Source organism: Homo sapiens, chromosome 10, assembly GCF_000001405.40.
Source record: "Homo sapiens chromosome 10, GRCh38.p14 Primary Assembly".
In the NCBI taxonomy this organism is placed as follows: Eukaryota; Metazoa; Chordata; class Mammalia; order Primates; family Hominidae; genus Homo; species Homo sapiens.
This window is the reverse complement of record NC_000010.11, coordinates 11,517,366-11,533,518: the sequence shown is the minus strand read 5'-3', so window position 1 is coordinate 11,533,518 and position 16,153 is coordinate 11,517,366. Positions and strand designations below refer to the sequence as shown.

The following is a 16,153-nucleotide window of genomic DNA, read 5'->3' as shown; positions in this document are numbered from 1 at the left end:
GAAGGATTCTTGTGACCACACTGGACCCACTTGCATGATGCAGGGCAATCTCTGAACTCAAGATCCTTAGCTGAATTACATCTGTAATCACTTTTGCAATTATGAGGCAACATTTACAGATTCCAGGGGTTAGGATGTGGACATCCCTGGCAGGGCAGAAGGTCAGTCTTCAGCTTACCACACCTTGTAATATCTAAAAATCTTTTTATTTTTCCTCAGGTTGGTATAGAATTCCAAGTTCATGATAATTTTTTGCTCTTAACTTTGGAAATAGTGTTTCATTATCTTCTAGCTGATTAGAACTTTGGCACCAGTCTAATTCTTATTCCTTGGTATATGGCTTGAGAAATTTTCCCCCTCTCAACTTCTGAGATCTTTTGCTTTAGTTGAATGTTACACCTGGCTTAAGCTGAGCGTAAACTTAATTTATTAGTGTCCAGTTAAGTGTAATTAATGTCCATAGGCATGCCTCTAACAGGGATGTTACTTTTGCAAAATGGTTGCAAATTGTAGATTTTACCCATTTAAGAGAAAGGGAGAAACAATGAAGGGAAGAAGGAAGGAGTAAATAAAACAGAATGGAAAAATTTGTAGTGCCATCTTACAGTACTTGTAGTACATATTGTTTCATGAGACATTTGTTTTACTTGTATGTGTGTGTGGTTTGTTAAAAACGTCCAAAACCACTACTTTAGCATGTATTTTGCTTCCTGTCTGAAACGGGCTGAAACAGAGGCTACAATTTTCACATTAAGAATTATTATTAAAAATTACATTAAGATATAAAATGTATTTGAGGAGAGGAGCATTTCTGGTTAGCTTTAATGTTTTAAATAAAAATTTTTTTGTTGCTCTGTGACAAGTTTTATTTTTAATAAGAAATAAGAAAGTGGCTAATATCGAGACACAAGATGAAGGCACATTATGAAGCTGCTTCTTTCAAGCCGCTGTTTGTTAGCGGATGGAATGCTGGTGTAGGCTGGTGTGCCTCATAGTTGGGATGTAGCCTGAAAGCCGTGTTTTCACCCTCAACAATGATCAGCTTTGTTTGAAAATATATAGTCTGTGTAACCACAGCAAGGTTTTTTTCTCCCTTAGAAGAAGACAGAGTGCATCTCAAACTTTTTCTTCTTGTGCTTGTTTCACAGATAGTTTAAAGTAGAGCTGCCTCTGCCTTTCTTTGTTTTAGTTAGTTGCAGAATGTGTGAGGTACCGCCGGGCAGCACTCTTGGTGTGTTCGAGAACTATAAAATAATAATGAAATCTTGGAATAGATAAGTTACTCTATGAGGACTGAAGCTGTTGTTAATTCCCAAGGCCAGACTGATTATCTCACAAAGGGTAAAGTACTTTTAAAATTGATGTTGTTTATATTTTTAACGTTCATCTGTCAAAATGTACTCTAGGAAAAATGGTCTGCTGTAAATTTTATTTTATTGGAAATGAACCTTAGTAACTTTGTATGAATTTTTCATTGCAGTTTGGTGCTAATTTAGTGACATTAAGATACAATACCTGCTTTTAAAGCATATAATTCAGGAGGGTACTGGATTCTTAGAAGTTCTTGGCAGATTAAATGGAAAAACAGGTCATCTTAGAATTGTATAGTTGTCAATTTTTAAAATGCTTCTTAAAAATGTGGAGTTGTCATTTTCTTCTATAAATTGTGCTGAGATATTTTCCTGTATACTTGAGTATTTCCTACACACTTGAGTATCCAAATATCTTCTGATCCTTATTGCTTAAAATATGCCTCTTTTACTTTGAAACTTTGTTACATTAGATAAAAAAAATCATAAAAATAATTTGATTTAATTTGGCTTGGATAATGTAGTTTTTTTTTTTTTTTTAAACAAACATCCTGGTGAAATGAGAGGACTGATATTTAAAGTAGTTAATCTAAGCGGGTGCGGTGGCTCACTCCTGTAATCTCAGCACTTTGGGAGGCTGAGGTGGGTGGATCACCTGAGGTCAAGAGCTTGAGACCAGCCTGGCCAACATGGTGAAACCTCATCTCTACTAAAAATACAAAAATTAGGCGGGTGGCTCACACCTGTAGTCCCAGCTACTCCGGAGGCTGAGGCAGGAGAGTTGCTTGAACCTGGGAGGTGGAGGTTGCAGTGAGCTGAGATCATACCACTGCACTCCAGCCTGGGCAACAGAGTGAGACTCGGTCTCAAAAAGAAAAAAAGAAAAAAAATAAAGTAGTTGATCTACATATTTCTGCACATGGTTTTATTTTTAATAATAGGAACTTTTTCTTCAGCTACAATTATTTTAACACTGATTACTCTTTAATTACTGTAATATTTTGGCAACAAGTGGTATTGTATTTCAAACCACATTTTTCCAAATAAACTTTTATTTATGGATTTGTCATGCAACGAGAGCATAAACATGCGGTGTGAATTTTTGGGATAATGTCCTGATTAAATTTTTATTTGATAATGATGTGACATAAGTACCAACCAACACAGCTGCCGTTGTTTATAGGTGCCTGGAACTTTGTTCACATGTGCACACAGACACAAGACAGCTGTTGATAATCGTTTGCAGTCACTGTTTTGGGGCACACGGTTGGTTCTTTCAACAGAATTTCTAAATAAGTAATCAGAATGAAACCAAAGGAAGTATTCTAGTGTAATTCTTAATAAACTTCAGACCAGATAGTATGAGCCATAATTTAACTATAGCAAACCCTACATAAGGCTCCTGCTTCTTACTGTTTGCCTTGCAATGCAGATTTTAAAATAATGTCTCTAAACTGAATATTGGCAAAGATTAACATTTTCATTTAGTTTCCTCAGAGAAACAGATTTGGCTATATTTTCTAAAATGCATTTAGCTTTAAATTCACTCTGCTTTTAGAATACATACATTAATACTATAAAATTTTCTCCCCATGGGGTAACTCAGGGATAAGACATTTCTAAGGGAGTTTAAAGATTGAGAATTTATTTATTTGATTTAGAGTTAACTGTTCTGATCACTTTAAAGTACATCATACTTCTCCCAAAAAATCAGGATGCAATTTCATCCAATTCCAATAAGAAGTCCAGTATTTCTGGAAGTCTCTATAGACCGACAGTGATCTATGTAAAGCTTTATATTTTATAGTTTGCCACAATGACATTTTCTTGGGATATGTTGCGTCTTCACCTCTCAACCCCAGTCCTTGCCTTTACACTTTTAAACTTTCCATTGTTATGTTGGAAGTATACTTGTGATGCCTAGGACTGGTAGCAGGATTAAGGGACTGGTATAAAAGACATTCCAATAAAGCATTCATCTATTGAATTTGGCCTGATTACTAAAGAAATTCATGTTTTGCAGTTCTGATAATAGAAATGGAGTTTCATAAGTAGTCAGATTCTCTTAATTTGAATTTAATTTCTTTTTTTTTTTTTTTTTTTTTTTGAGACAGGGTCTTACTCTGTCACCCAGGCTGGAGTGCAGTGGCACGATCTCAGCTCACTGCAACCTCTGCCTCCCGGCCTCAAGCGATTCTCCTGCTTCAGCCTCCCGACTAAGCTGGGACCACAGGCAAGCACCACTATGCCCAGCTAATTTTTGTATTTTTAGTAGAGACTAGGTTTCACCATGTTGGCCAGGCTGGTCTCAAACTCCTGGCCTCAAGTGATCTGCCTGCCATGGGATTACAGGAGTGAGCCACCACACCCAGCTTGATTTTAATTCCTATTAATTTGCTTTCCCTATGCTTTGGTAGATGTGTATCATGTTTTAAAATTGGACAGCAGAAGAGGGAAAAAGGAACTGACAAAGGCTTGTAAGTCTAAAATAGGGTAGTGAATATGTATATCATTGAGTTGATTATCTCAGACTTCTGTTTGCATTAATTCATGGTGAAAATCTGAACAACTCATCTGTATTTTTATTTTATTGAATCATTCTGTTTAGTTATTCACACATCCCCCAAAGGAAAGCATATTCACATTTTGTAGTTTAACTGGGAAAAGCAGTAACACAAACATTTTTTTCCCAAATAAGCTTTTACAAATTTACAACTTCCCACTCTGTTGTTTTTACTATTATAAACAACCTTGCGCTTGTTTGATGATCTCATTGGCATAAATCTGTAGAAGCAGTAGTGCTGGGTAAGGATATGTCTGTTTTCAGATTTTTTTACACATATTATCAAATTACTTTCCAGAAAGATTTTATACATTTATATGTTTATCTTCATTATAAGGAACTGCAATGTCACCATTGTTGTCAACATTGAGTATTATCAGTGCATTTTTTGGTTAGTCTGAATAGGTGCAAAGTGATATTTTGAAACTTGGATTTCTTTAGTTACTAATGAAGTTGATTTTTTTTTTCTATGTCTTGGTTTTTCATTTTAGATTTTATTTTTATCAGACCTATATTTGGCTTAAAGATTCAGCAATCTGTAAGTCTTATTTTGAAAATAGCAGACTCCTGTATTTTTCACTGCCTGCTCCATAGAAGTAAGCACTCTCCACTGCCCTGGCTGATTCTTTTCCTGTGTGCCTCCATTGCGCTAGGTAACATGCCAGTATTGCTGCTTCATGCATCTTCCGTTTTTGGCATTTCTATTGGTTTCCTGCTTTGGAGAATGAGGGTTTGGTTTTCCACCCTGCACCCGGCTCTGCTACACACATGCATGTCCCTTCAACTTTCAGGGATTTGACTTCCTTTACTCAGCTCCCTTGTTTTTAACCCCACCTCTCCTTAGGAACCACCATTTGCTTTGAGGAGGGGATTTCAAGAATCCCTATAGTTGCTATTTTAGTGGGGTTTTAGGGGAAATGGAGGTAAAAGCATATGTTCCATCTGCCATCGGTAACTGGAAGTCCTTTTTCATGTCTTTAGTCATCATTTTTATAAAATAGTAATTAAAATTGTGGGCTGTGGAGTCAAGACTGTCTGGATTTGAAAACTGTCTTTGCTGTTTATTAGCTTTATGCCTGTGGACAAGTTGCGTAAAATCTCTAAGCCTCTTTTTTATCGCGGTGTAGGATTCATAATGATGCCTACCTTAGAGTGTCATGTGGTAAGGCAGGGTAAAGTGCTTATTAGCACAGTATTTGCTGCCTGGCAGTATCTTACTATCTGCCAGGCACTTAATAAGAATGCAGTATAGTTGTTACAGTTGTTACTGCTGTTGCTACTTTTAGGAATTTCTTGCTCATAACCTTTGCCTAGTTTTCTCTTAGAATGCTTTTTTTTTTTGGTAAGAGAAGCCTTTTATATAGTCTGTTATTGATCTTTTAAAAAAACTTATGGTATATATTCATACTATTTCATGTTATGATCTCGACTTTTGTTGTCAGATTTATGTTTTTGAAAGTCTCCTAATGTTAATAAGGATGAAGGGTGTGTGTGTGTGTGTGTGTGTGTGTGTGTGTCTGTGTGTGTGTCCACACACATATGTATGATAAAACTGGAGTCCTAGAGACCGGTTAGGAGATTGTTATAGCAGTTGAGGCTGTTGATAAAGGGAACTAAAAGGCTAAACAAAGACATATTTGTATCATGTAAAATAAATATTGTATCTTGTGCTAGTTTATTTTGTGGAGATCCAAGTTCCTTTACTTTTTAAAAGCCGTTTTGAATGTTTGTCTCTTCTACCCAAGTGGGCTTCATCTGAAAACTTAGAGCTTTCAGTTTCAGTTTCTACTTAACATCAATTTCTGTGAAATTTTAGATCCGAAATTGATTCATGAAGGATAAGATTTATCATGTCCTAAGTTTATGCCTTAATGAACTTGCTTTTTTATTGAATATTACATGTATTGCTATTACAAAGTTGTAGTTACAAATACTTAACTCATCCTTTTATTTGATTTTGTTGATTTGTCATTTTAGGCAGTATTTATTTTTTGTTTTATTATGTCTTAGTTTCATAATTAATTAACTTTACGATTCTTTCAATGACAATTCATCTAAATTTGATGTCTTCTCCACAGATTCAGACCAGGATGTAGCACTCAAACTTGCCCAGGAGCGAGCTGAAATAGTTGCTAAATATGACAGAGTAAGTATCCATATTTAACACTTTGGGTGAGTTTTATTAGAAAAACCATATAAATAGAAATGGATTTGCTTTTTGGAGGGCTTACATTCCAGAAGCAGTTTGTTTAACTTCATGGGGACATAGAGATCATCTTCGCTGACTTCATCTCCTGTCTTTCTTCATCCTTTTCTCCACTTCAGTCGGTTGCTATTCCTCCAGCACACCAGACTTGCTCCTGCCTCAGGGCCTTTGCACTGGCTGTTTCCTCTACCTGGGACACTTGTGTCCCAGATATTCTCATGCCTCATTGCCTCACATCTTTCAGATCTTTGCCCAGATGCTATCGTCTTACTGAGATCTTCTCTGACCTCCCACCTCCCTGTTTAATGCCCCTGATTCTACCCTCAGCACTCTGTACACCTGCCGAGACTCTACATTCTAGGCAGGAATTTCTTTTGTTTGATTTACTTTTGTATCCTAAATGCCTAGGACATTACCTGATTCACACTAGGCACTCAATAAATACTTGACTAAGTTAAGTATATGGAATTACATATCCGTTGCGTTCATAATTTACATCTGCTATTATAAATTTACCATGGATCTTAGATTTTGAATTTATACAAGTGTGTATAATTTCCATTAACGTTTTATCCTTATGTTGGTATGGAATCTGTTTTTTGATATTATAGAAAATCACAATTATTGACAATTGACATACCTCTTTATACCTTACCTCCTGAGGTCTATAATGAGTCCTAGCAGTGATTTATAAATGTCATGTTTTGTATTTGCATCACTTGCTTGTAATTATGTATCTGTTCCTTCTGATTATTTGTGAGGATAACAGGAGATTAAATCATAGAAAGTCACCTGCACTGTGTCCTGCTTCCATGAGGCATACAGGTGATGCTCAGCTTAGCAGTTATGTTCCCAGAGTTCATTTTTGGAACATCAAACACAGTTTCCTTCATTGTGATGAGGTTTTATTGTAGTCCATGAAAAACTCAGTTAACTTATTTAACTGCTTCACTAATTTAAAACCAGTGTCACTCTCATTCATTCCTGCTTGTGTGCATTTTTTTCCCCACACAATTAACACAGTCCAGGCATCGTGCTGGGCCTTGGGGATTCATAGACAGGAGTGGCAGCAGCCCTTGCCTACAGGATGCTCCCAGTGTACTGAGAGGAGAACACACAAGCAGACAGATGGAGGTGTCCACAAGACAGTTGGGAGTTTGAGTCTAAAATTTGAGGGATTGATATAGATAGTTATATTTGGGGTTTCTTCACTGATCAGTGTTAGTTAATAGCCTAAGAGTAAATGATACCTAGATTAAGAAGAGCAGCGGGCTGTGGACCGAACTTTGGGCACACCATCAATGACGAGTTACCCATGAAAAAGCCATTAGAAGAGTTGATGGAGCATGAGGAGACCATGAGAGGACAACGTCACAGGAGTTGGGAAGAGGGAGTGAGCGACACTGACAAGTACGCTTCAGAGATCCGTTAGATGAGGCCTGAAGAGCGTGCAGCAGGTCTGACTGCTGGAAGGTCATTTTTGACTTTGGCAAGAGTAGTTTCAGGCTGGCATAGCTGTGAAGTAAAGAACTAGACGAGGAGCTTCTCTGCCTGCTTCTCTAAGGAGTTTGCATAAAAAGGCAAAAAAGAAAAATCTCTTTCTCTGAGACGTGTTTGGTCTAGAACTGTAAGGTTCGGCAGTTTCTTCTGGAGTGGCTTTCTCATCCCCATCGCTCTTCTTTCCTCATTAGCTTCCCCAAGGAACCCTGGCCTGATCCTGGCTCAGCTCCGCGTCAGCTGCTGCTGACACACAGCATCTTCCAGAGTCATAACTAGGAAATAGTGTTTATCTTGCCAAAAATAGTTGGGTTTAAAGGGGAAAAAAAAATGTTAAGGCTCATAATGCCTCACTTCCAGCTCTTATTTTTAGTAATACATTAAAAATAGCTCTTATTTCTTCGTCCTTTTATTTTAAAAAATTATTCAGTTTTATAAACTCTGATTAACACCTTTTTTTGTGCCTTATTTTAGGGACGAGAAGGTGCAGAGATTGAACCTTGGGAAGATGCTGATTACCTTGTTTACAAAGTCACAGATAGATTTGGCTTTTTACAGTAAGTCACATAGATTGAAAGCTTGCTTTTTAGATTATAACGTTTCTGTGGTCACCTATTATATTGATTTTCTTTATTTTTAATATAATTGCTGTGAATAAGGAATAGTCTTACAATATGCGTTTTGATACTAAATTCCTAGGTTTCTTTTAACAACTCTGTGATTAAAATTTAACTGTTTAAGATATAATTTTTAATATTTTTTGCAATTTAGTAAGAACATTAAGTGCAGTAGGTGAGTTATATTAATAAATCAACAGAGTTAAATGCAAATGGATAATTTGTATTTTAAAAATAATTATAAAACATTTCATTCTGTACCAGCGCATTTTAAAAATAAATAGCAATTCGAACTTTAGTGTTATGCAGCCTGAAAATTAGCCTTGTAAAGAAATGCCATTCATCTTCCTTATAGTTATAAATGTATTCATAATATTGCTTCTCAAAATTAATTCCATTCATCCTGAATATGTTATATAAAGAGAGAGGTCTAGATCACATAAAGTAAAGCAGTTAAAATAATTTGGATCCTTAAAAACATCCTTCACATGATATGAATCTGTCTGTTCTGGTTCTGGTATTGTTTAATCGGTTTCCTACAGGCTAGAGACTTCTATTCATCTTTATACTTTAGTTCCATGCAATTTAAGGATTAACTAAATTTTCATTCAACTGTGCTCTTTTCCAATTTCATTTATTATAAATAGGAAAAAAAGCCAGGACTTTTTATTTTATAATACATGATTAAATTTTGAAGGAAAAACATTCGTTTTTTGTATAGTTCACAGTAATGTACAGTCCTCTGACCTTATTTTCTCCTTTTCTTTTTTTCTGAGTCTAGAATTTATTTTGCTGTATTATGTTTTTCTGAGAGTAAAACCAACCAACCAACAGACAGAAACAGTTCCCAGAGCTGGAGAATATGTGCTCTTCTTGTGGCTTTGCTGTTCTCTGGTCATGTAGCCATTTTGTGCTTCATTTTTAAAACAGGAATTAGTTTACATACTTTTTTTATGTATCTTCAGGTGTATTTGAGGCTTTGAAAAAGTAAAATATAAGAATACTTTATAAAGTTCTGGACAAATATTAAGTGTTATTATACCTAATGACATTAGCTATCTGAAATGTTCTTCTGAGTAGTTATAATCAGAAGACTGTTTTGTTTTTGTCGAGACAGGTTTTGCCCTGTTTCTCAAACTCCTGGCCTTAAGCAATCCTCCCACCTCTATAATCAGAAGCCTTTGAACTTCACTAGAATAACAGCAATATTTAACTATGATGGAAATACTGTTTTTAAATTAAACTTCCACCCCTACTTTTTTAAAAAATCAAACTTGGCTACGCACGTGACAAGAAATGATTGCATATTTGTGTGGGTTAGTGTGCAGATCTGGGGTATGAAGGACAATTTAACCATTAAGACTGTTAACACCAGTGGGTTCCAAACTTGCCTGCACATTAGAATCAGCTGGGAAACTGTTTAAATAGATTTCCATGTCTTTCCTAGATTTTGATTCAAAAGATAGGAGGCACCTCAGCTGATTTTGACCTTCCCAAGTGTTTCTGGTGGGAATGAACCACTGTACCAGATTTTTTATTTTTATTTTTTAAATCATAAGATGGTCCAAATATGGTATAAAATACATAGGGAAACCTGTGCATTCCAAAATGGATCTATTAATTACCTAAATTTTCTTTTCTTATTGCTTAAAACAACATGAGCGGGGCCCTAGAAACAAGAGGTACTTTTTTTTAAACTGGCAAATGCTGTATTTGGCTTTTTAGCATTATGGATTCCAATGTAAAATTTTAAGTGCACAAATACATTATTAACATTTAAACACACCCTTGTGATCACACATACACAGTCCATTAATTTGGGGGAATTGAAAACATACCATCAAGTTAAAATGAATTTTAAGAAAAAACTACATTCACAAATCTGAAAGGTATACAAAACTGAAATTGTAAAATAATGAATATAGGTGCCAGCTAAATTTCATGAAATATGCCTGCAAATGTGGATCCAGTGATTTTTCCACACTTGTGATAGTTGGGTGGGAAGACATTCCCCAGTGAAAGCATCCAGTCTCTCTGACTCTTGTCTATTGAGAAGCATTTCTAGGTATAAAACCATGTTTGAACTATTACAGCCATGAAATAAGTGATTCTGACCCAGGAGCCTAGTCTGTATTTGGCAATCTGAATATTGCAATCAGTTCTTTTGTATTTATGTTTTCACTGTCTGTGCTAAGGTCCATTTGGCTCTAGTGGGGAAAAAGTGCAAATATTTATTGTGCACTTACTGTGTGCTGAGCACTGTTCTGTGCTCTTTACATGGAATAACTCAGTTATTCCCCTGAAAAGCTCTTTGGGGTAGGTACTGTTTTTGTCTTCCTCTTTTTAGGCGATGAAACCGAAGCACAGAGGTCAAGTAACTTGCCGATGTTGTATTGACAGTGAGCGTCAGCTCTAGGGTGTGGACCTTGGCAGTCTTCCTGCAGAACTTGCATTCTGAACTGCTACAGTATGCTGCCTGTTGCTGCTTTCTTGTATTTTAAATAAGAGAAATACAGAACAAGTGCTTTGAAATGCCTAGAAAGAAATTTAAAGGGGGAAAACGAGGACCTAAAGAGAAGGATACTGTTTGAAATGAACACTGCTATTGAGATACGTACTAAGATAGCTAAGCTCACCGCTTTTTAAAAAATAAAGTAGATTGGTACTCATTCTCATACTTTTTATCACACTAATTTTATTTACTCCATGATGTGGTCCTAAAACAGACAACACAGATGAACATAATGAAGCATAGAAATGGATATTAGGGTAATGTCAAGCCTTATTAAATTTCACCAAAATCAGTGATTTTTAGTACAATGAGTAGTTTAAGTAAAACATTTTCTCCAGACATTGTTACTAGTGGTTTTTATTGCTTGTCACCACAGACCGGAGTTTTATGCGCTATTGAATAAAATCATTTGGTGTAAGCATGTAGATATTATTCCCTGTCACACCTTGATCAAAAGAGCATTTTTTTCTACTGTCTTAGTTCTTTGTAATTTTTGATTCATTCTGCAATGAAATTGGGTTTTAAGTGTCAATGTTAATACAATAAAATGGCAAAAATAACTTTGCAACCTTTGTTGCCTGAGTTTATATCTAATTACAGTTTTAGAAACTTAAATTACCTGTTATTATATGTGGAGTGACAGTAATTAACAAATATAGAACAACTTGGTTTTGGAATAGATTACACAATAAATATGAAAGCTGTTGCCAAACCAACTGAGCTCTGCCAGATGAGCAACCTCTTTGTTTAGTACTCAGCAGTGAGGCATTCTCCCCAGTGTGTGCCATGATGGAGTTAAAGCTGGAGAATAGAGAAACAGAGCTTGTTTAAGGAAGAAGTTGGAGAACTTTAACATTTTAATCAAAAATAGTCACTGCTAGTCTACTTAACAAAGAATGTTTGGTATTTGGATAATGATAGATAATGTATTTAGGTCACAAGTTATTAATAGAAGAATTAGAAGGAAGTCATACCAGAAATAAGATAAAATTAATACCAAGCTTCAGATTTTCAGCTACTTATCAAAATGTGTATATTTATAAAAGCAGACTCTCTGTAGTTTACTGTGACTGTATAAAATGACTGTATATGATATGCAGAATAAAGGTGGGTTTGTTTTTAAAGAGTATCATTGGCCGGGCGCGGTGGCTTACGCCTGTAATCCCAGCACTTTGGGAGGCCCAGGCGGGCGGATCACGAGATGAGGAGTTCAAGACCAGCCTGGCCAACATGGTGAAACCCCATCTCTACTAAAAATACAAAAAATTAGCCAGGCGTGGTGGCGCGCTCCTATAATCCCAGCTACTTGGAAGGCTGAGGCAGGAGAATCGCTTGAACCCAGGAGATGGAGGTTACGGTGAGCGGAGATCGCACCGTTGCACTCCAGCCTGGGTGACAGAGCAAGACTCTGTCTAAAAAAAAAATTTAAAAAAAAATATATAAATAATATATATGTATATAATATAATAATATATAATATATATTTTATATATAATAAAAATATTATATATATAATTTTGATTACAAAGGCTTGAGAACTCTTTCTACCAATCCTATAAATTTTGACTGGCTTAAATTTAAACTTAGATAAAATTTACTTTAAAAACAAAAATAAAATTTAGTCAATATAGTCAACTTATTAATTTTAACAAGTTAACTTTTAAGTTTCCAAATGAAAGTTCATCTTATAGTTAACATAAATACTCCACCTAGCTGTTGAGAGGTTATAGGCACATAAACTCCGATTAGTAATACTTTCAAAGTTTAAGAGTAGATGAACAATGTATCCAGTTAAGGTCTCTCTCTTTCCAGAGATGGCTGTCTTATGGTTTTCCCTTACTGTATTTCTGTGAGATATAGGTACTTGCTATCAGCTTGGTGTTTTCTTAAAGCAGCCTTTAGGTGCTCTTAAGCCCTTGTTCTCTAAAGCAGGGTTTGGCAAACATTTTCTCTAAAGAGCCAGATATGAAGGATCTTTGGCTTTGTAGGTCATACGGTCTTTGTCACAACTGCTTAACCCTGCTGTTGCAGCATGAAAACAACCAGAGACAATACATTCATGGCAGAGTGTGACAGCGTTCCATTAAAACGTTACAAAAATGCACAGTGGGCCAGATTTGGCCTATGCACCATAGTTTGCTGACCTAAAGGAATTCTCTGCATTCACCCAGATTGTGGTCCTTCTTTCTTCTCCTCCACTTGAAGGATATTTAGGAGGCAAGGTAAGGATGCATCCATGCCTGCAGGCATGTGTTCATCCTCCTGTTCATATCTTCATTCAGCACCGTTTACTGAGCTCTTCCAGCATGCCAACTTACGTATTCTGGGCATTACAGGGAGCTCTTGGTAAGCAGCAGCAGTGTCATCCTCGGAAGGGTGTGAAATTTAAGCATATGCCGGCACAGAGACTTGAGGGGGAAAAGCTCTGTGGAGATTGGTATGCACACAGCAGATTCTCCATGAAAAGTTTTAGATATGGAGAAATCATGCCAGAACATCTGTATAGGAAAGCTGGACCACATATTTACTCTATCATCCATCTATGAGGTCTGAAGACTTTTTTATTTGTAACCAGTTTCGTTTCTTCTTGAGAATCGTTTTCTCAGCCTCCGTCCCTTTTCTTCATATACTCCTGCATGATCTGAGATCTTGTCTGTATGAAGTTGAACCCACTGAATTAGTGCTAAAAGTCTCTCGACTAAGTGAAAATGTTAGTTGTATTATCTGTGAAATGAGAGATTTGGACTCTAAGATCTCTTTTGGCGGTTATTCTTTTGTGTTAGTTTTGTGGCTGTAGTAATTGTTCACCTAAGGACTCCTCAGAGTAGAAAAAGAGTGCCTTTGAAAATACCGTACTGGTGAATACCGCTCTATCATGCTCTTCAAGATGATATATTATTTGATCTCAAGAGAAACTAAGGCAAGAATATAAACATAGTGTTGCCAAAACAGTACTACTGAGAAAGCTACTCAAAGTGCATAACTTTGTTTATGGATAGCATGTGGTTTTTATATTACTGACAGTTAATACAAGAATCTCAGAATATTTTATATTAGAGATGATATCACAAATATACTGTGTCAGAAATGAACTTGATCTTTTAGTGTATATTTAAAAAATAATCTCTTGAAATTTTGACAGTGAAGCATTCTTATTTATTTATTTATTTATTTGTTTATTTTGAGATGGAATTTTGCTCTTCTTGCCCAGGGTGGAGTGCAATGGCGCGGTCTCAGCTCACTGCAACCTCCACCTCCCGGGTTCAAGCGATTCTCCTGTGTCAGCCTCCCAGGTTGCTGGGATTACAGGCACCTGCCAACATACCTGTTTAATTTTTGTGTTTTTAGCAGGGACAGGGTTTCACCATGTTGGGCAGTCTGGTCTTCAACTCCTGACCTCAGGTGATCCACCTGCCTCAGCCTCCCAAAGTGTTGGGATTACAGGCGTGAGCCACCGCACCCAGCCAAGCATTCTTTGTTGTACTGAATAAAGTTTTCTCTTTAAATTCACAAGTCTGTTGGAGGCAGTTTTTTCCTTATGCTATTTTTTTAAACAATCATTGATTATAGACCATAGTTTGAACCAAGAGTGGAGGTGGTGGTCTAAAGCAGAGGGTGGCAAGCTGGGGCCTGTGGAGCAGATCCAGCTCACCACCTATTTTTGTAAAAGTTTCGTGGGAACAGAGCCACACTTGATTTACGTAGTGTCTGTGGTTGCTTTTGTACTACAACATCAGAGCTATCGTTGTGAAAAAGACGGTATGGCCCAGAAAGTCTCAAATACTTACCGTTTAAATATTTATCTTGCGAGAAGAAGTTTGCTCACTCCTAGTCTGGAGCAGTGCTGTCCAGTGGACCTTTCTGCAGTGATGGAAATGTTCTATATCTGTACCGTTCAATATGGTGGCTTCTAGCTACGTGACATTCATGCACTTGAACTGTGCCTAGTGAGACTAACTCAGTGTTAAACTAAATTAAATTTTAATGTTAATTAGATGCTTTTTATTAATAAATGTGGCTTGTGGCTACTGGTGACAGTGCAGGGCTGGATTTTGAAGATAGGTGGCCCTGTGGTTCTAGAGTAGCTATCATTTCATATTGAATTCAATGAATGGAAGCCTATGTAACTCTTGTGATGACAAATAAATATTGTATGTCATATGTATCTATAAGTATATAAGCTTTTAAAAGTTTGTTTTGATTTCAACAATTTCATATAATACTGTTTTTCCTCTGCAGTGAGGAGGAGCTCCCAGATCATAATGTGGCTGTGGAACGGGTAAGTCCTGCTCTTGATGTATTTACAGTTACTGGTGAATTGCCTTTATTAGAAGAATAAAATTGACCACCTTTGTGATTTTAAGTGCCATATTATATGGGAATGGTACAGTCATTGTTAGATTTTGGACCTCATTATGCCACTGTAAGATAATAGTTAATGGTGAAATAATATTAGGAGATTTTAGGAGATTCTGATAGGTAGTTGGCAGACTTCATTCTAGACTGGCAGGTCCTGAGCTAGGCGTGCTTCAGAACAGAGAGGCTTTGAGAGCACAGCTGCCCAGCTCCCACCTCAGTCTGTGAAATCAGCCTCTCTGGGTAGGTAATTTTTAAAGGCTTCACAAGTGATTCTCATGTACCCTGTGGCAAATAAAGCACCATTCTAAGACCAGCAGTTCTTTGAAATGTGACTGTTCCAGGAGATTTTAGTAAATTTCTTACAACAACCAAAATCGTTTTCTGTGGGTCAGTATTTTAGTATTTTAAGTACTTAGAGAAGTGTTACATAGTAAACTTGTCAACATTTAAAAATCTTTCCTCGTTATACATAGCAAGGAACTGGCTCCACACCCAGGCATGCGTTTGAAGTAGTGACGGAATGTTTTAAGGTTGTCCGAAATCTCCCTTTTCCTCCCCACTGTTTCTGTACCAGAAAATGAACTGTAGAATGAAAGTGGGGGTATTGACTGGGATTATTATCAGTTCATGTATGTTTGATGAGGACAAGGGGCTGAATTTCAGGTAATGAAGGTGAAATTGGAATTGGAATTTGAAAAATATTTTAGAAAATCTTCCTGGGATCAAACTTTTCTGAAAATCAAAACTGTAGCAAAACCTTAAGATGTAGATGAAATTGCCATTTTATGTATATAGAGAACCCTATAGGCAGACCTGCAGTTGAATTCTCTTGTGACTGTCTGGTTCTCTCTCAGTATCATAACCTAGAGGTTTCAGCAAATGAATACCTTTGTTTTAATATCTACATAATTGAATAGCAACTATGTATCAAGCACTGGCCTAGTTCTGCATAGAATGCTAGGATTAAATAAGACATAGTTTCTGCCTTGGAGAAGCTCACATCCAGTGACTACAGGTAGGAGACGACTGGTGGCTTGGTGGGGCCATAGTATATGTGAAATGCAGTGGTAGTGCAGGTGGAGGGGAAAG

General features: G+C 36.6%; 1 protein-coding gene across 11 annotated transcripts in view; it reads left to right on the top strand.

Annotated features, from left to right (window-relative positions):
- USP6NL (USP6 N-terminal like) overlaps window positions 1-16,153 on the top strand; it is a 151,141-nt gene that overhangs the window by 78,132 nt on the left and 56,856 nt on the right. For 9 of the 11 annotated variants that reach the window (XM_024448263.2, NM_001391961.1, NM_014688.5 and 6 more), the window contains 3 exons: window positions 5,952-6,019; window positions 8,051-8,133; window positions 14,945-14,984. Coding sequence is in view for 10 of the 11 variants with exons in the window: in NM_001391961.1 (NP_001378890.1) it covers window positions 5,952-6,019; window positions 8,051-8,133; window positions 14,945-14,984 (191 nt within the window). In the remaining variant the exon portion in view is untranslated. Of the gene's footprint in view, window positions 1-1,091; window positions 1,342-5,951; window positions 6,020-8,050; window positions 8,134-14,944; window positions 14,985-16,153 lie in introns of those variants that run through there. The other 2 variants (NM_001080491.5, NM_001391960.1) reach the window with 2 other exon arrangements.